General features: G+C 40.4%; 1 long non-coding RNA gene across 3 annotated transcripts; it reads right to left on the reverse strand.

Moving 5' to 3' along the window:
* Positions 1–306: 306 nt before the first annotated feature.
* LOC102723347 (uncharacterized) lies at positions 307–21,161 on the reverse strand. 3 transcript variants are annotated; one of them, XR_001756162.3, is made up of 3 exons: positions 20,351–21,161; positions 18,882–18,940; positions 307–1,317 (listed from the first exon to the last, which is right to left on the reverse strand). It is a non-coding gene; the product is annotated as an uncharacterized LOC102723347 (long non-coding RNA). The 3 variants fall into 3 exon arrangements; XR_001756164.2 differs by lacking the exon at positions 307–1,317 and adding an exon at positions 3,147–3,401 and having other exon boundaries at positions 20,351–21,159; XR_001756163.2 differs by lacking the exon at positions 307–1,317 and adding an exon at positions 14,686–15,132 and having other exon boundaries at positions 20,351–21,154.
* Between the last annotated feature and the right edge of the window lie 642 nt (positions 21,162–21,803).

Genomic DNA, 21,803 nt, shown 5'->3' on the forward strand with positions numbered 1-21,803 from the left:
CTTCAGAAAAACCCATTGGCCAAGAAAAGTTTCACACACAAAAAAAAATAGTTTAAACTGAAAGAAAATTTTTTAAAAACTTAATAAAATGTGGGATGCAGATAAACCGTTTCTTAAAGGTACATTTATAGATGTAATATATTGAAAATAAAAGGCTTCAATGACCTTTAGTTTCTTTTTTAAGAGGCTAAAAAATAAGCAAAGTATATCCAAATTAAGAAGAAGGAAGATGATAAAGATAAAAATGTAAACCAACAACATAGCAAATAACAAAAGGTAGAGCTAATTAATATACCCACAAATTGGTTCTTTGAAAAAAAATTTTTTAATAAACAATGGCTAGCAAGATTTATCTCGAAAAAAATTAGAGAAGCTACATAATGTAGATAATGGGAATTAAATAGAGGATGTAACTACAGAAACTACAGACATCAATATAATTATGAAAACTTTAGACCAATACATTTGACAATTAAAATAACATGGGAAATTATTTGTAAATCTAATTCTTAAAACTAATGCAAAATGAAATAGAAAAAGTAATAGCTTCTCTATGTATTGAAGAATTTTTTTAATTTAAAAAGATTTCTATAATTACAGGCTACATGCTTTCTCAGGTGAATTCTATCAAACATTTAAGAAAGTACAGAGAGTCCTCAACTTACAGTGGTTTGACTTGTGCTCTTCTTACTTGATAATGGTGCTTTCATCTGTGTACGTTAACGATGAGCATCAATATGACCAGTTTTTCACTATCAGTATAGTTTTCAATAAATTTCATGAGAAACTCAATATTTTAAAATGGGCCTTGTGGTAGATGATTTTGCCCAATCGTAGGATAATGTAAGTGTTCTGAGCAAGTTTAAGGTAGGCGAGGCTAAGTCATGATATTCAGTAGGTTAAATATATTAAATGCGTTTTAGACTTACAATATTTTCAATTTAGGATGAGTTCATTAAGACATAAAACAATTGTAAGTTGAGGGGTATCTATAACATCAATCTTGAACGGACTCTTTTTAAGAAATAGAATTTAAGGGCCGGACACAGTGGCTCACACCTGTAATCCCAGCACTTTGAGAGGCCAAGACGGGCAGATCACCTGGGGTCAGGAGTTTGAGACCAACCTGACCAGCATGGAGAAACCCCCATCTCTACTAAAAGTACATAATTAGCAGGGCATGGTGGCACTTACCTGTAATCCCAGCTCCTTGGGAGACAGAGGCAGGAGAATAGCTTGAATCTGGGAGGCAGAGATTGTGGAGAGCCGAAATTGTGCCATTGCACTCCAGCCTGGGCAACAAGAGTGAATCTCCGTCTCAAAAAAAAAAAAAAAAAAAAAAGAAAATTTAAAGGGACATTTCCTATCTTATTTTATGAACCCAGTATTGCCGATTCCAAATCGAGACAAAGGCATTATACAACTTTGATGTTTATCCCTCATAAACATAGACTCAAAAGTCCTTAAAACATAATAACCAATTGAATGTAGCAGTACATAGAATGGATAATAAACTGTGAACAAATTAAATTTCTAGCAAGATTGCAAAGTTAATTTATTATTTGAAAGATCAGTTTAATCAATTTTATTCACCTGGATGGTTACATCTGGCAAAACTCAGCAAACTGTGCACTTTAAAATAGTATTTATTTTATGTAAATTATCTTTCAATACAATTGATTTTTTAAATTGTTATTGTTTAATTATAAACGGTATCCTTTCAGGATACTTGGAAGATCCATAGCAGTGTTTTTATTTTCACAGAACAAGCATAAATTATTTATGAAATAATAACTCAGATACAGAGATTACTTCCTATTGGCCTTACATATGAATATAAATAAATACATATTATGAACATGAGCATACTTATTTTATAATTATGTAAATGTGTGTGTAATGTTATATATAAGTTCAATAAAGTCATGCTTATACATGGTTTCAATTCATGCTTCTAAAAACCACTCAATGTAGTCATTATCGTATGTTAATAAATAATCTCTGAAAATGTGCTTCTAGTAGTTGCACAATATCCCATCATAAAGATTGTCATGCTGTTTTTAAGTCATACTTTTGGGTATATAAGTTATATCTGATATTTTTCTGCTACATATATACTATTATAAATCTATTAGTAGCTGATTTTTTTGTCAACACATATGATTGTTTCCTCACAATAGTACAAGAGTTGGTTGTAACTTTATTTCCTTCCAACATTTATTTTAGGTTCAGCGGGTACATGTGCAGGTTTATTATATGGGTAAAATGTGTGTCAATGGGATTTGGTGTACAGATTACGTAGTCATCCAGGTAGTGAACGTAGTATCTAATAGGGAGTTTTTTGATCCTCACTCTCCCCCCACCATCCAGCCACAGTAGACCTTGTGTCTATTGTTCCCTTCTCTGTGTCCATGTGGACTCAATGTTTAGCCCCCACTTATAAGTGAGAACATGCAGTGTTTGTTTGGTTTTCTGTTCCTGCATTAATTCACTTAGAATAATGGTATCCAGCTCCATTCATGTTGCTGCAAAAGACATTATTTCATCCTATTTTATAGGTGTGTAGTATTCCATGGTGTATGTACGCTGCATTTTTTTAATCCAGTCTTCTGTTAACAGGCATCTAAGTTGATTCCGTGTCTTTGCTATTGTGAATAGTGTTATAATGAAAATATGCGTGCATATGTCTATGACAGAATGATTTATATTCCTTTGGGTATATACCCAATAATGGGATTGCTGGGTTGAATGGTAGTTCTGTTTTAAGTTATTTCAGAAATCTCCAAACTGCTTTCCACAATGGCTGAACAAATTTACATTCCTGATGAAACTGGAGACTTCCCTGACTCCCCTTGGCAGGATGTGCAACAGAGGTGTGGCTTGTCTGGCCACCGTGTGTGCTGTCAAACCCCTTACTGGGCAGGGAAGCATGCAGACAGGCAGGTGCAATAGGCAGGGCAAGTGGCCATGGTACTGTCTAGGGGTGGGTTCCTGCGACTCCTACAGCCCAAGTGGGCATGTGTTACAGTGCACTCTTTTAGCTTTGTCATCCACAGACGGCTTAAGTGTTAACCTGTTCAGTGCCCTCTTGGTACCCAGTTCCTTGTCCAGCATCCAGAAAGAATTAAGTTGCACACAGACTTGAGGATGGTGAATGTGGGGGTTTTATTGAGTGGTGGAGGTGGCACTCAATGGGATGGATGGGAAGCTGGAAAGGGGATGGAATGGGAAGATGATCTTCCCCAGGAGCTTTGCCATCCAGAGGCTGATCTCTCCAACCACTGCCAGCCAAACTCCTCTTGGCATTCAGATGCTCCTTCTCTTCTTTCTGCCACATCATTTTGCAATTCTGCTCTTCTGTTCATCTCCTCATCTGCTTGTCTGCTTCTGGAGCCTGGGGTCTGGGGCATATATGGGTACAGGACAAGGGGTGCATGGTGAGCTGAAAGACAACTTTTGGGTGCAAAAGCAGGAATGCCTGTTCCCATTTACGGCCATGGGTTTCCAGGCTTGTGGGCAGGGCTTTGCCAGGGAACCACTCTCTTCTACCCAGTATTTCCCTGTCTCCTTTCTATATCACCACCAGCAGTGTATAAGCATTCCCTTTTTTCCACAAACTCGGCACCGTCTGTTATGTTTTGATTTTTTAATTATAGCCATTCTGACCGGTGTGATATGGTATCTCATGGTTCTGATTTTCTGATGATTAGTGATGTTGAGTATTTTTTCATATGGTTGTTTGCCATACATACGTTGTCTTTTGAAAAAAGAATCTACAGACGGCTTAAGTGTTAACCCGTTCAGTGCCCTCTTGGTACCCAAGTCCTTGTCCAGCATCCAGAAAGAAGTTGCACATGGACTTGAGGATGGTGAATGTGGGGGCTCATGTTCTTTGCCTATTTGTAGTGGGTTTGCTTTTTGCTTATTGATTCTTTATACATACTAAGTATTAGACCTTTTTCAGATATGTAATTTGAAAATATTTTCTTCTGTTCTGTAGGGTGTTCTCTGTTGATAGTTTCTTTTGCTGTGCTGAAGCTCTTTAGTTTCATTAGGTCCCACTCGTCAATTCTTCTTGTTGCAATTGCTTTTGGAATCTTCATCATGAAATATTTGCCTGCGCCTATGTCCAGAATGATATTTCCTAAGTTTTCTTCTAGGGTTTATATAGTTTTGGGTCTTACATAAGTCCTTCATCCATCTTGAGTTGATTTTTGTATATGGTGAAAGGAAGGGAGTGTACATGCCCCTGTGATATTGTTCCTAATATCCAGGTTGGGAGAGGATATTATACTCAATAGTGCAGGAAGTGTCGACCACCCTGAATGTTGCTTTTAATATCCGGGGAGAGAGGGTGATATTACTCCCAATATCATCCTCTCCCCCGACACCCTGCATAGTACAAGCAATATCAAAGGGGGTCTGTGCAACACGTGCAATATTGGGAGTAATATCCTCCCCCAACATGGATATTAGAAACAGTATCACAAGGGGTTGTACACCACCTGTGATATTGGGGAGTACTATCATTTTCTTTCCCCATGGATATGTACAACAATATCACAAAGGTGGTGTACAACCCCTGCTATATTGGGAGTAATACTGTACTTTCCCCACCTAGATATTAGGAACAATATCACGGGGGGTTATACACCACTGCAACATTGGGAGTAATATCATCCTTTCCCTCCCTGGATATTAGGAACAATAACTCATGGGTGTCTACACCATGTTCCATATTGGGATTAATATTTTCTCCCTTGCTGGACATAAGGAACAATATAACGGGGGGTATACACTCCTTATGATATTGCCAGTAATATTATAGACTCCCCCCAGGGATATTAGAAAGAGTATCAGAGAGGGGTGTACATCCCCTGCGATATTGGGAATAATATTCCTTCTTTCCCTGGATATTAGGAATAATATCACAAAGGGGTTGTATACACCCCGTGACATTTTAATTAATATCATCTTCCCCACTGAATATTAGGAACAAATTCCCAGGGGGTTGTACACCACCTGCAATATGGACAGCTATATCATTGTCTCTCCCCCGAATATAAGGAACAATATCACAAGGGGGTTGTACAACCCCTGTGATATTGGGAGTAACTTTATACCCTTTCCACATGGATATTAGGAACAATATCACAGGGTGGTTGTACACCCACTGCGATATTGGGAGTAATATCATCCTCTATCCCCTGGGTATTATGAACAATATCATGGGGAGGGAGTGTATGCCCTCTGTGATATTGGGAGTAATATCATCCTGTCCCCTCTGGATATTAGGAATGATATCACAGCGGGGCTGTACCTTTTCTGCATTATTGGGAGTGGTATCACCCTCTCCCCCTATGGATATTAGGAACAATATCACAAAGGGGGTGTACACATCCTGCGATATTGAGAGTAATATTGTCCACTCTTCCCTGAGATATTAGGAACAATATCACAGGCGGAGTGTACACCCCCTGCTATTTTACCTGTAATATTATTCTCTCCCAACCTGGATATTAGGAATAATATAACAGGAGGGGTGTACACCACCTGTGATATTGGGAGTAATATCATTCTCTCCCCCCATGGATATTGAGAACAATATCACAGGGGCGGTTTACACCTCCTGCGACATTTAGAGTAATATCATCCTTTTCCCCCATGGATATTAGGAACGATATCGCACGGGAAGTGTACACCCCCGCCATATTGGGAGTAATATTTTCTCCCTTGCTGGACATTAGGAACAATATCACGGGAATGCACACACCCTGCGATATTGCCAGTAATATCGTAGTCTCCTCCCAGGATATTAGGAACAATATCACAAGGGGGGTGTACATGCCCTGTGATATTGGAAGTAATATCATCTACTCCCCCCACGGATATTAGTAACAATATCAGAAGGAGTGTACACCCCTTGCGATATTTATAGTACTATCATCCTATACCCCCTGGATATTAGGAACAATACCACGGGGGGTGTATACCCACTGTGATATTGGGAGTAATTTCATCCTCTACCCCTTGGATGTTAGGAGCAGTATCACAAGGGGGGTGTGCAGCCTCTGTGATATTAAAAATAATACCGTTCTCTCCTTCTCTGGATACTAGGAATAATATCACAGTGCTGGTGTGCACCCTTTACACTATTTGGAGCAATATCACCCTCTCCCCAACTTGATATTAGAGACAATATCATGGGGGGTGGCGTGTAACACCCTGCACTGTTGGGAGTACTATCATCTAGTCTTCCCCTGGATATAAGAAACAGTATCACAGAAGGGGTCTACACCTCCTGAGATTTTGGGAGTAATATCATCCTCTCCAAATCTGGATATTAAGAACAGTATAATGGGGTGTGGGGAGTAATATGGTGGGAGTAATACAATCCTCCTCCCCACTTGCTATTAGGAACAATATCGCAAAACGTGTGTACACCCACTGTGACATTTGGAGTAATATCAACATTTCCCCACCTGGTATCACGGGGAGAGTGTACACTCCTTATGATATTGGAAGTATCATTGTCTCTCACTCTCGATATTAGGAAAAATAGCACAGGGTGTGTATACACTTCCTGTGATTTTGGGAAGAACATCATACCCTTCTGTCTTTGATATTAGGAACAATATCACAGAGGGGGTGTACAACTTCTGTGATATTATAATATTCTTTCTTCCCATGGATATTAGGAATGACATCCCGGGGGGCTTGTTGTACACCCCCTGTGATACGGACAGTAATATCATTGTCCTTCCCCCTACATATTAGAAACAATATCACAAGGGTGGTATACACCCCCTGGATATTAGAAACTATCACAGGGGGGCTGTACAACCTCTTTGATACTGTGAGTAATACCATTGTCTCCCCTCCTGGGTATTAATAACAATATCATAGGGTGGGTGTACACTCCCTGCAATATTGGGAATAATATCATCCTCTCTTCCCAGGGATATTAGGAACGTTATCACAGGTGGGGTTTACACCCCCTGCAATTTTGTCAGTAATATTACTTCTGGATGTTATTGAATATATCACAGTGGGGGTGTACACCCCCTGTGATATGGGGAGTAATAGCATCCTCTTTCCCACTGGATACTACAAACAATATCGCAGATTGTGTATAACCTCCTGTGATATTGTTCACAGGAGGACAAAACTTCCAGAGGAACGATCAGACAGCAGCATTCGCGGATCACGAAAATCCACGGTTTTGCAGACAACACTGCTGATAGCCAGGCAAACAGGGTCTGGAATGGGTCTCTAGCAAACTCCAACAGACCTGAAGCTGAGGGTCATGTCTGTTAGAAGGAAAACTAACAAACAGAAAGGACATCCACACCAAAAACCCATCTGTACATCACCATCATCAAAGACCAAAAGTAGATAAAACCACAAAGATGGGGAAAAAACAGAGCAGAAAAACTGGAAACTCTAAAAAGCAGAGCACCTCTCCTCTGCCAAAGGAACGCTGTTCCTCACCAGCAATGGAACAAAGCTGGACAGAGAATGACTTTGACGAGTTGAGAGAAGAGGGCTTCGGACGATCAAACTACTCCGAGCTACAGGAGGAAATTCAAACCAAAGGCAAAGAAGTTGAAAACTTTGAAAAAACTTTAGACGAATGTATAACTAGAATAACCAATATAGAGAAGTGCTTAAAGGAGCTAATGGAGCTGAAAGCCAAGGCTCGAGAACTATGTGAAGAATGCAGAAGCCTCAGGAGATGATGAGATCAACTGGAAGAAAGTGTATCAGTGATGAAAGATGAAATGAATGAAATGAAACAAGAAGGGAAGTTTAGAAAAAAAAGAATAAGAAGAAATGAACAAAGCCTCCAAGAAATATGGGACTATGTGAAAAGACCAAATCTGCATCTGATTGGTGTACCTGAAAGTGACGGGGAGAATGGAACCGAGTTGGAAAACACTCTGCAGGATATTATCCTGGAGAACTTCCCCAATCCAGCAAAGCCAGCCAACATTCAGATTCAGGAAATACAGAGAACACCACAAAGATACTCCTCGAGAACAGCAACTCCAAGACACATAATTGTGAGATTCACCAAAGTTGAAATGAAGGAAAAAATATTAAGGGCAACCAGAGAGAAAGGTCAGGTTACCCATAAAGGGAAGCCCATCAGAATAACTGCTGATCTCTTGGCAGAAACTCTGCAAGCAAGAAGAGAGTGGGGGCCAATATTCAACATACTTACAGAAAAGAATTTTCAACCCAGAATTTCATATCCAGCCAAACTAAGCTTCATAAGTGAAGGAGAAATAAAATACTTTACAGACAAGCAAATGCTGAGCGATTTTTTCACCACCAGGCCTGTCCTAAAAGAGTTCCTGAAGGAAGCACTAAACATGGAAAGGCACAATCGGTACCAGCCACTGCAAAAACATGCCAAATTGTAAAGAACATCAAGACTAGGAAGAAACTGCGTCAATTAACGAGCAAAATAACCAGCTAACATTATAATGACAGGATCAAATTCACACATAACAATATTAACTTTAAATGTAAATGGACTAAATGCTCCAATTAAAAGACACAGACTGGCTAATTGGATAAAGAGTCAAGACCCATCAGTGTGCTGTATTCAGGAAACCCATCTCACGTGCAGAGACACATATAGGCTCAAAATAAAAGGATGGAGGAAGATCTACCAAGCAAATGGAAAACAAAAAAAGGCAGGGGTTGCAATCCTAGACTCTGATGGAACAGACTGTAAACCAACAAAGATCAAAAGAGACAAAGAAGACCATTACATAATAGTAAAGGGATCAATTCAACAAGAAGAGCTAACTATCCTAAATATATATGCACCCAATACAGGGGCACCCAGATTCATAAAGCAAGTCCTGAGTGACCTACAAAGAGACTTAGACTCCCACACAATAATAATGGGAGACTTTAACACCCCACTGTCAACATTAGACAGATCAATAAGACAGAAAGTTCACAAGGATACCAAGGAATTGAACTCAGCCCTGCACCAAGTGGACCTAACAGACATCTACAGAACTCTCCACCCCAAATCAACAGAATATACATTTTTTTCAGCACCACACCACACCTATTCCAAAATTGACCACATACTTGGAAGTAAAGCCCTCTTCAGCAAATGTAAAAGAACAGAAATTAAACTGTCTCTCAGACCACAGTGCAAACAAACTAGAACTCGGCATTAAGAAACTCACTCAAAACTGCTCAACTACATGGAAACTGAACAACCTGCTCCTGAATGACTACTGGGTACATAATAAAATGAAGGCAGAAATAAAGATGTTCTTTGAAACCAACGAGAACAAAGACACAACATACCGGAATCTCTGGGACACATTCAAAGCAGTGTGTACAGGGAAATTTATAGCACTAAATGCCCAAAGGGAAAGCAGGAAAGATCCAAAATTGACACCCTAATATCACAATTAAAAGAACTAGAAAAGCAAGAGCAAACACATTCAAAAGCTAGCAGAAGGCAAGAAATAACTAAAATCAGAGCAGAACTGAAGGAAATAGCAACAAAAAAACGCTTCAAAAAATTAATGAATGCAGGAGCTGGTTTTATGAAAGGATCAACAAAATTGATACACTGCTAGCAGGACTAATAAAGAAAAAAAGAGAGAAGAATCAAATAGACACAATAAAAATAATAAAGGGGATATCACCACTGATCCCTCAGAAATACAAACTACCATCAGAGAATACTACAAACACCTCTACACAAATAAACTAGAAAATCTAGAAGAAATGGATAAATTCCTCCACACATACACTCTCCCAAGACTAAACCAGGAAGAAGTTGAATCTCTGAATAGACCAATAACAGGATCTGAAATTGTGGCAATAATCAATAGCTTACCAACCAAAAAGAGTCCAGGACAAGATGGATTCACAGCCAAATTCTACCAGAGGTACAAGGAGGAACTGTTACCATTCCTTCTGAAACTATTCCAATCAATAAAAAAAGAAGGAGTCCTCCCTAACTCAATTTATGAGGCCAGCATCATCCTGATACCAAAGCCGGGAAGAGACACAACCAAAAAATAGAATTTTAGACCAATATCCTTGACGAACATTGATGCAAAAATCCTCAATAAAATACTGGCAAACCGAATCCAGCAGCACATCAAAAAGCTTATCCACCATGATCAAGTGGGTTTCATCCCTGGGATGCAAGGCTGGTTCAATATACGCAAATCAATAAATGTAATCCAGCATATAAACAGAACCAAAGACAAAAACCACATGATTATCTCAATAGATGCAGAAAAGGCCTTTGACAAAATTCAACAATGCTTCATGCTAAAAACTCTCAATAAATTAGGTATTGATGGGACTTATCTCAAAATAATAAGAGCTATCTATGACAAACCCACAGTCAATATCATACTGAATGGGCAAAAACTTGAAGCATTCCCTTTGAAAACGGGCACAAGACAGGGATGTCCTCTCTCATCACTCCTATTCAATATAGTGTTGGGAGTTCTGGCCAGGGCAATCAGGCAGGAGAAGGAAATAAAGGGTATTCAATTAGGAAAAGAAGAAGTCAAATTGTCCCTCTTTGCAGATGACATGATTGTATATCTAGAAAACCCCATTGTCTCAGCCCAAAATCTCCTTAAGCTGATAAGTAACCTCAGCAAAGTCTCAGGATACAAAATCAATGTACAAAAATCACAAGCATTCTTATACACCAATAACAGACAAACAGAGAGCCAAATCATGAGTGAACTCCCGTATGCAATTGCTTCAAAGAGAATAAAATACTTAGGAATCCAATTTACAAGGGACATGAAGGACCTCTTCAAGGAGAACTACAAACCACTGCTCAATGAAATAAAAGAGGATACAAACAAATGGAAGAACATTCCATACTCATGGATAGGAAGAATCAATATCATGAAAATGGCCATACTGCCCAAGGTAATGTATAGATTCAATGCCATCCCCATCAAGCTACCAATGACTTTCTTCACAGAATTGGAAAAAACTACTTTAAAGTTCATATGGAACCAAAAAAGAGCCTGCATCACCAAGTCAATCCTAAGCCAAAAGAACAAAGCTGGAGACATCACCCTACCTGACTTCAAACTATACTACAAGGCTACAGTAACCAAAACAGCATGGTACGGGTACCAAAACAGAGATATAGACCAATGGAACAGAACAGAGCCATCAGAAATAATGCCGCATATCTACAACTATCTGATCTTTGACAAACCTGACAAAAACAAGGAGTGGATCCCCTATTTAATAAATGGTGCTGGGAAAACTGGCTAGCCATATGTAGAAAGCTGAAACTGGATCCCTTCCTTACACCTTATACAAAAATTAATTCAAGATGGATTAAAGACTTAAATGTTAGACCTGAAACCATAAAAACCCTAGAAGTAAAACTAGGCATTACCATTCAGGACATAGGCATGGGCAAGGACTTCATGTCTAAAACACCAGAAGCAATGGCAACAAAAGCCAAAATTGACAAATGGGATCTAATTAAACTAAAGAACTTCTGCACAGCAAAAGAAACTGCCATCAGAGTGAACAGGCAACCTACAAAATGGGAGAAAATTTTTGCAACCTACTCATCTGACAAAGGGCTAATATCCAGAATCTACAACGAACTTAAACAAATTTACAAGAAAAGAAATACAACCCCATCAAAAAGTGGGTGAAGGATATGAACAGACACTTCTCAAAAGAAGACTTTATGCAGCCAAAAGACACATGAAAAAATGCTCATCATCACTGGCCATCAGAGAAATGCAAATCAAAACCACAATGAGATACCATCTCACAACAGTTAGAATCACAATCATTAAAAAGTCAGGAAACAACAGGTGCTGGAGAGGATGTGGAGAAATAGAAACACTTTTAAACTGTTGGTGGGACTGTAAACTAGTTCAACGATTGTGGAAGTCAGTGTGGCGATTCCTCAAGTATCTGGAACTAGAAATACCATTTGATCCAGCCATCCCATTAGTGGGTATATAACCAAAGGACTATAAATCATGCTGCTATAAACACACATGCACACGTATGTTTATTGCAGCACTATTCACAATAGCAAAGACTTGGAACCAACCCAAATGTCCAACAACGATAGACTGGATTGAGAAATTGTGGCACATATACACCATGGAATACTATGCAGCCATAAAAAATGATGAGTTCATGTCCTTTGTAGGGATATGGATGAAATTGGAAATCATCATTCTCAGTAAACTATCACAAGGACAAAAAACCAATCACTGAATGTTCTCAATCATAGATGGGAATTGAACAATGAGAACACATGGACAAAGGAAGGGGAACATCACACTCTGGGGACTGTTGTGGGGTGGGGGGGGGGAGGAATAGCATTAGGAGATATACCTAATGCTAAATGACGAGTTAATGGGTGCAGCCCACCAGACTGACACATGTATACATATGTAACTAACTGGCACATTGTGCACATAAACCCTAAAACTTAAAGTATAATAATAATAATAATAATAATAAAATAAAATTAAAAAATGAAAAATTTGTTTGCCTTGTAAATAAACTACCAAAAAAAAGGAAAAACAAGAGGCAGATTATTTGTGGAGATAAGTCTTCCCCCTATCAATGAGTAAAGATTTTTGCCCTTTAAAAATTTTTTAAGTCATGATTTTAGGTAAATGAATGACTTACGTTGACGTGGAATTCTATTTCATAACATCAAGTGTTTAAACCTTTAATATATTTAATACGCTTCCCAAAATCAAATTGCAACTTCAAAATTGTCTTTTCTGACCTCTAACTTTGGGATACTACAGAGGCCCCTGAAGCACCCAAAAGAGAGGTAAACAGGACTATTTAACATGTTAAGTCACATGGCTAGCACTGTCAAAATACAAAATAATGTTGAACCTTCTTTAGGTTATATTCGGTGTATGTCATCAATCCATTCTAAAATTGTATAGGATTTCTAAAATTCTTGTATTTTTTTTTTTCTGAGAAGGAGTCTTGCTCTGTCACCCAGGCTGGAGTACAGTGGTGCAATCTTGGCTCACTGCAACCTCCACCTCCCGGGTTCATGCCATTCTCCTGCCTCAGCCTCCTGAGTAGCTGGGACTACAGGCACCCACCACCATGCCAGGCTAATTTTTGTATTTTTAGCAAAGACGGATTTCACTGTGTTAGCCAGGATGGTCTCGATCTCCTGACCTCGTGATCCTTCCACCTCGGCCTCCCAAAGTGCTGGGATTACAGGCATGAGCCACCACATCCACCCTAATTATGGTTATTAAGTTATTGTAGACCACAGAAATAACCAAATTTCCTTGTCAATTGTCTTTATCTATAACTATTTAAAGTCATTTCCACAGTTAATTGCTTAATGGTGATGCAGTTTCTAAAAACTTCACAAGCATGCAAAATTCTAGAATATGGTGTCTCTTAGAAGATTCATGAAAGAATGAAAAGGATCCTGAAAAACACTCGTGAACACAGATTTTTAATAACTTTAATATAATGGGTAAAAATTCCCCATAAGTTCCCTGATACCCCAAGAATTGGACAGGTTAAGAATTCTCAAAAGTTAGGCTGGGTGCAGCGGCTCACGTTGGCAATCCCAGCACTTTGGGAGGCCAAGGCCAGTGGATCACTTGAGATCAGGAGTTTGAGACCAGCCTGGCCAACGGTGAAACCCCACCTCTACTAAAAATGTAAAAATTAGCCGGGTGTGGTGGTATGTGCCTGTAATCCCAGCTACTCTGGAGGCTGAGGCAAGAGAATTTTTTGAACCCAGGAGGTGGAGGTTGCAGTGAGCCAAGATTGTGCCACTGCACTCCAACCTAGGTAACAGAGTGAGACTCTGTCTCAAAAAAAATCCCAAAAGTTTAATAAATAGACCAACTGGTTTATAAAACTGCTAACCTAAGTAAAACAAAAATTGTATACCAAGGAAATATTTTGCCACATTTGCATGCTAAATCACCAATATTGAAATTGTTTAGGTATATAATTTAAATAAACTCCATGGTCTAAGTCAAATCACCTATAACTACTCATCAGTTACCAGTGCCATGCACGTAATTTGGAGAAACAGCTGGTATTCAAGAGGATGTAAGTCTAATGTTAATTAAGCACAGACTTATGAAGAACCAGGATGGCCACCTTATCCTTCTTAAGTCCTTAAAACTTTTGTTATTAAAAGTTCTGCATTCCATAACTCATCATGGAAAGAGAAAATGATCCAAATTAAATATATTGTTGTGGTGATTTCTAAACTGCTAAAATAGTTTATAACCAATGTTTAGTTTGTCAAACCTATATTTCTAGGAAAACAATCAAAACTTCAGGTACATTTGGTTACCTGATGGGCCATTTAAACATTTTATAAAGGGATTTGATTCAGTTGTCATTTTCAGTGCATGTTTTCTGATTGTATAAAAGCTCTTCCATGCGAGAGAGTTGATGTTAAAACAGTAGATTATTACCCTGAAGTGTATTTTCACCAGGTAAAGAAAGCCTTTTATGGTTCACTGAGGACAGTCAACCCCTTCAAAATCTGGAATCTGATGACTGGATCTTCTGAGAACATCAGAGAAGGACTGCCCTTGCCATCCACATGACAGCAAAACTTTAAAACCTTAAACTTTGGGTTCATAGTCTCACAACTCAGAAAGGTCCTTCCACACTTGGAACCATATACCCATTGGAACCCTTAAGGTAAAGCTAACAAGGACAGTTCCCCCCAGAAGAAGATGGCATCCTTAATGTGAACAGCTTTTCCCAAGATCACAGATCAAGACTTCTCTACTATCATGAGACACTTATCTTAAGTATCTGTGCAGCTGCTAACACTTACAGCATGTGGAGAAAACATGGGGTATTATAAAAATTTGGTTGTAGGGAATTAACAAAAAAACCCACTTAGTTAAGCAAGTAAACTCTTTATCTAATTCATTCTTTAATCTATTTGATTTTAGGTGGTTTGATTTATGGGGACCCTGAGTTAGGAGCATATACCAAATTCTTGGTGTTATCCCAACAGTCATAAGAGTCTCCCTGGTGCACTGTACTTACTCAAATGTTTTAAGAGTTTGCATGCAGGCATCTCTAAAATATCAAATGGTATCTCTTCAACTGGAATGACAAGAGATTAAAAAAAAAGTGCAACCGTAAGGACACCATAACCTATGAGTGACATGCTAAACCGGAAACCCAAAACAATGGGGGTGACATGCTAAACCAGAAACCCAAAACAATGGGAGTGATGTACTAAAACGGGAACCCAAAACAATGGGAGTGACGTGCACTAAAACCAGAACCCAAAACAATGGGATTGACGTGCTAAACAAGAAACCCAAAACAATGGGAGTGACTTGCTAAAACTGGAACCCAAAACAATGGGAGTGACGTGCCAAAAGCGGAAATGAAAACAATGGGAGTGATGTGCTTAAACCAGAACCCAAAACAATGGGAGTGACCTGCAAAACCAGAAACCCAAAACAATGGGAGTGACGTGCTAAACCAGAAACCCAAAACAATGAGAGTGATATACTAAAACTGGAACCCAAAACAATGGGGGTGATGTGCACTAAAATCAGAACCCAAAACAATGGGAGTGACTTGCTAAAACTGGAACCCAAAACAATGGGAGTGATGTGCTAAAACCGGAAATGAAAACAATGGGAGTGATGTGCTGAAACCGGAACCCAAAACAATGGGAGTGACCTGCTAAACCAGAAACCCAAAACAATGGGAGCATCCTGCTAACCCAGAAACCGAAAACAATGGGAGTGACCTGCTAAACCAGAAACCCAAAACAATGGGAGTGACGTGCTAAAACTGGAACCCAAAACAACGGGAGTGACGTGCTAAAACTGGAACCCAAAACAATGGGAGTGACTTGCTAAAACTGGAACCCAAAACAACGGGAGTGACGTGCTAAAACTGGAACCCAAAACAATGGGAGTGACCTGCTAAACCAGAAACCCAAAACAATGGGAGCATCCTGCTAAATCAGAAACTGAAAACAATGGGAATGACCTGCTAAACCAGAAACCCAAAACAATGGGAGTGACGTGCTAAAACCAGAAACCCGAAACAATGGGAGCGTCCTGCTAAACCAGAAACCCAAAACAATGGGAGTGACGTGCTAAACCCGAACCCAAAACAATGGGAGTGACGTGCTAAAACTGGAACCCAAAACAATGGGAGTGATGTGCTAAACCAGAAACCCAAAACAATGGGAATGACGTGCTAAACCCGGAACCCAAAACAATGGTAACTAAGAGTGATGATAAGGCCCTACATTTTGGTCACACTCTCAACTAAGTGAGAACTTGACTGAAAAGGAGGACTTTTTTTTCTAAGACAGAGTCTTGGTCTGTCCCCCAGAGTGGAGTGCAGTGGCACAATCTTGGCTCACTGCAAGCTCCACCTCCCAGGTTCAGGCCATTCTCCTACCTCAGCCTCCTGAGTAGCTGGGACTACAGGCACCCACCACTATGCTTGGCTAATTTTTTGTATTTTTAGTAGAGATGGGGTTTCACCATATTAGCAAGGATGGTCTCAATCTCCTGACCTCGTGATCTGCCCACCTCAGCTTCCCAAAGTGCTGGGATTACATGTGTGAGCCACCGTGCCCAGCCAAAAGGAGGAATTTTTTAAGCAAAATTATGGGAGGTCATTGTTTTGAACTAAACTCATGCAATAGGTCCAAACCAGACCAAACCAAACCAAAATGGAGTCACTCTTGCTAAATGTAACATAATCAAACTAAGACTTTAAGGAAACACATAAATCCTAGAACAAACCAGGTTTGTTTTTCTCCTGTAAACAGGATGTTCCAGCATAAGAAGATACCTTCTACTCAAGTCCTTGTTCCACCTTTTCAAATCTCACTGGTCTATTTCCCAGTGGGTTTCTAAACCAAGTAAGTACATTTGCAATGGTAATAGTGACATCAGTGACTGAAGTTTTGGCCAATCTCTCAAAATTGAGAAAATAACCAAAGGGAAGGCATTGTTAAGTGAACTAAGTATGGCCTGAGAAGGACTCCATAATTCTATATATGATTCATTGTGGATGAACTGTAACCTACCTTAATAGGTATAGAAGAATGAAAAACTAACTTAAGAGTATGCACCTTGAACAACAGCTACATCTTGGCCAATCCCAATGGCCAAACTTCAACCACTCAGGCACTGCCAAATGTTCAAAATGTGTTCAAACAAGGCAAACGCTGAGTTGTTTCTGTACCTCACTTCCGATTTCGGTATGCCATTTCCCTTTTGTCTATAAATCTTCTTCCACCACATGAATGCGCTGGAGTCTCTGTGAACCTGATGTGATTCTGGGGACTGTCTGATTCGTGAATCGTTTATTGCTCTATTAAACTCCTTTAAAGTTTTTCTTTTAACAGAACTAACACAGAAGAATTTCCAGATCATGAACAGATGTTTTGTAATACCCAACGTTGTAACATGAATAGACTCTTCCTTAGATAGCTAACCTTGTTTTTAATATGAATAGACTCTCCCTTAGCTGAGAAAACCAGACAAACTCCATTTGGCTCCTTCATTTACAAGACATCAAGGGCTCCCTACCCACCCCCTTTCCTCAAGGACTTTAACTTGTGCAAGTTGACTTTCAACATATCAAAGAGTGCAATTAACTGATAAAGTGCTTAGACAAGCGATGTCTGCAGTTCCCAGCAATTTATTCAGAGATAGTATCATAAAGCCCCACATTTGTCTGGCAGATAATGCCCAGAGCCCCCTCACCTATCATTTTGTGGTGAATTTAAAGCCCCTGCACCTGGAACAGTTTGTTTTCCTGTAACCATCAGTCTTTTTAACTTTTTTGTCTGTTTTTTTCTTCTGTAAAGTTGCTGCAGCTAGAATCCCCCCTCCCCTCTCTAAACCAAAGTATAAAAGAAAATCTAGTCCCTTCTTCGGGGCCGAGAGAATTTCGTGCATTAGCCGTCTCTCAGTCACCAGCTAATAAAGGACCCCTGAATTCGTCTCAAAGCGTGGCGTTTATCTCTAACTCACTCGGGTTCGACAGTTTCAACTATGGTAGAAGACTTGAGTAAGTCCAATACAGTCCCCCTAAATTTGACTATTAATTAGGTTAATGGTGAGTTTAGAAGAAATAAGTTAAGACTACACAGAGTGGGCTAAAGTGCAAATAAACACTGGAAATATTTCCCAGAAAATATGACTTTGAACAGGCTGCTGCACACCCTGCATGTAGAGATAAACTAAGAAAAATGTCTGGAGAGTTATTTAAGGGCCTATGGTTAACTCAGTCCTCAAGATGTTCTGGGTTTCATCCATGAATCAAGGAGGACCTCCTAAAAGCTGTTTGGGACCACACTCTTTGAGCAATGAGCACACCTTACGATGGAAGCTGTACTTTAGCGGCAGATGACCATTACCACTGCACAACACGCCGTGCTTTAGCGGAAGATGACCGTTTCCACTGCACAACACTACAAGTGGTTACTGCCAGGCCGGTGTGAAATATGTTCCAGCACATAATCTATGTCACCAATGAAGGTGGTGGTTCGGACTTGGTGCACACAATCTTTCCTGTCCCACAAGAACACAGCATGCTCTCTTCTCGGGTTCCATTCCAATCACGTAACAAATATGACTGCCTTTTTTGTCTCGGCATCAGAAAGATCAGAGGAAAATTTGCACCCAACTTAGACTACTCTAAGCTCTTATAACCTGCCTATATCTACAAGTCAGCTTTATCTTATTTATGTATATTTCCTTCAACCTGAGTTTTACTTATTTATACTTTTCCTTTTTAATTCACACACACCCATAAACTCAGAAAATACAGTGTAAAACAAAGTGAAGAACAAGTAAGCAACTCACCAGAGATTTATTCGTTTCTTGTTGCTCTTGGAAACACCCAGAGGACACTGGAAACATAGCTGGGATAGAAGGCAAATGACGTGGATTAAGGAGAGAACTGGTGTGGTGTGGTCCCAGATTCTTCTGCCCAATGCTCTAGACACATTACCCGGGAAAGCCCTCCTCCCTCCTGAAAAAGAAAAACTTCTCCAGGGGAGAAGAGTTCTTCACGCCTCATTAGGGGCAGCAGAGGCTCAAGTTAAGATAAGATACATAGACAAGTACATTAATTGGTAGACATTAGATGCACAATTTATTTTTGAATAAATATATGTATTACCTACTAATTTAGTAACAATATGATCTAAAGATATAATCTAATAATTTAATACAAAGAAACATAAGTTCACTAAAATAAATGTTATAGAAATATACTGGGCTGTATTAACTATTTTCCTATTAATATGTAGATTCCACAAATAACTTCATATGAGTGTTCCCGTGACAGTACCTCTTGCTTTTCTATACCTGAACATCATGGAAAGTGCATCTTGCAAACCAGCAATTTTGGCCTACAATTACGCTTTTTAAAATGTACATAATGCGTATTTCCTACAGTACACCATTCTACTCATGTTTCCCAATAACACCTTTCCTTCTATCCAAGCTCTCATATTATGCTCTGACAATAAATTGGGCTTTTCCATCTGACTTGTCCAGTGAATGGACAATGGAAAATGTGATGCAAATATCCATTGGTTCTTCCCTTTTTGGGAGAAATTGTGAAGAGGTCTGGAGCTACCCTGTTGGAGACACAGGGCCTAGCCAAGAGTCACCACAAACCACCAGATTGTGAAGGAAACTATCTTAAACCAACCAGGCTCAGTCAAGGCACCAGGTGACTAAGGCCTTTTTGTGATCCAGGCAACACAAATATATCAACTACCCAGGTGAATCCACCACACCAAAATGCAGATCCACAGAACTTCAAACAAATAAAATGGTGTTTGTTTTTTATAAGCCAGTAAGGTTTAATCAGTTCCTTAAACAGCAAGTATTAACTGTTACACCTAAGTGAACAGAATTCACTTCTGTGTTTTTAACAAAATTATGTAGGGGGAGAAAATCTTAAATTACAAATCAAATACAATCAATAGAACTCGCAATCTAATGCTAAATTTGGTGATGGACTAGGTTTAATATATCTCAGACGCGAAAAAACGAGCTAAGATTGAAGGAATGGGACTGTGTTTGGAGAGTATTTTAATCCTCTCAAGTATGACAGGTCACTCCTGTACCCCAGACCACACTTTCAGGCCCCTTCAAATAAGGAATATTTCCTAAGTCCTTGCCTGTTTTTCTCAGCTGAATTCACCTCAACCTTCTGAAAGTTCGTCCAAACCTTCTACTATCACCTAGTCTTTGCAAATCTTGTGCATTCTAGGGAGTAGAATTAATATTTCCTGAGCAAGGAAAACTGGGATCTTCACCTGTGACCTTTTTTCCTCCTCTGAAGCACCAGTGAGAGGTTAGACCAGACGGCTGTTCTTTCAAGTGTGCTTCTTATTCATAGGGAACCCTCCCTTTCAAACTTTGTAACACACAGTTAAGACTGAAGTACCCTTAAGGCTGACGACCATCATCTATTACGCCATCTCCCTCGCGGAATCAGTGAGTTCTTCCCTGGAAACTAGGTCTCGTATAAACTTCTGTAAATGCGACCCAGGAGGACTAGGCAGGTCACACAGTGAAGGAGGGAACCAGAAACTTCACTTGCTAAAGAGACACCAGGAAACCAAACTAATACAAACGTCAAGTTTAAGACTAGAGGCGCATGCGTTTCACACTACTCCTCTGGGAATGGGGAACGTCTCCCGAGAACTGTGTGTTAGCACTGGGACAGATGGGCAAACTGAGCATCATGCGGGTTGGTAACCGGGTCCCTCAGCGGCAGGACAGGAGCGCGGCCTGCAGACTCCGGGCCCAGGGCCACCGGCCTCTCCTACCCGCTCCTGTGCCTCTAGAACCCGCGTCACTGCTGGGACCCCACGCCTGTCCTCCCAGCCCCTGCCAGGGTCCGCAGCCCGCACCTGCTCTTCAGGCCCTGCCCTCCCGTGATGCGCCCACGCGTCTGCTCCCACAACTAGGGAACACTGGTCCGGCCCCCTGGGATCCCCTGAGGCTCACGGGTTCCTCCTGGCCCTCGCACCGACCCACAGGGACATAGAACCAAGCCCCAAGCCGGCCCAGCTACAGTACCGCCTCTGGGTGCCACACTTCCGGAGGAAAATGGCGGAGTGGGCCGGGCGGCGCATGCGCAGAGAGAAAAGCTGGTTCCCAAAGTCCTTGATGGTAACGTCATTGGAAGGTGACACTACAATTCCCATGAGGCTTTGCGGTCCCCATTTAGGAACCCACGCCGGACATTCTGTTTTGCCCAGCAGTTGAGTCCAGTTACCCAGAGACCCGGACTTAATGTATCAGGACTGGTCCCTACCCAGGTGACAGAGATGTGGCATTCTGGTTCTTTATTAAATACTGGTTTCACAGCCTGGGACATTGTGAAAATAATGGAGAAATTTCAATAGAGGCCAATTGGTCTATGCTATTAATCAGTAACTTTTTTTTTTTTTTGAGACGGAGTCTCACTCTGTCGCCCAGGCTGGAATGCAATGGTGCGATCTTGGCTCACTGCAACCTCCGCTTCCCGGGTTCAAGTGATTCTCCTGCCTCAGCCTCCTAAGTACCTGGGATTACAGGCGCGCGCCACCACACTCGCCTAATTTTTGTATTTTTAGTAGACACGGGTTTTCACCATGTTGGTCAGGCTGGTCTCCAACTCCTGACCTCGTGATCCGCCCTCCTCGGCCTCCCAAGGTGCTGGGATTACAAGCGTGAGCCACTGCACCCAGCCCTCAAGTCTATTTTTTATAGATACATTCG

Source organism: Homo sapiens, unplaced genomic scaffold (assembly GCF_000001405.40).
Source record: "Homo sapiens unplaced genomic scaffold, GRCh38.p14 Primary Assembly HSCHRUN_RANDOM_CTG20".
In the NCBI taxonomy this organism is placed as follows: Eukaryota; Metazoa; Chordata; class Mammalia; order Primates; family Hominidae; genus Homo; species Homo sapiens.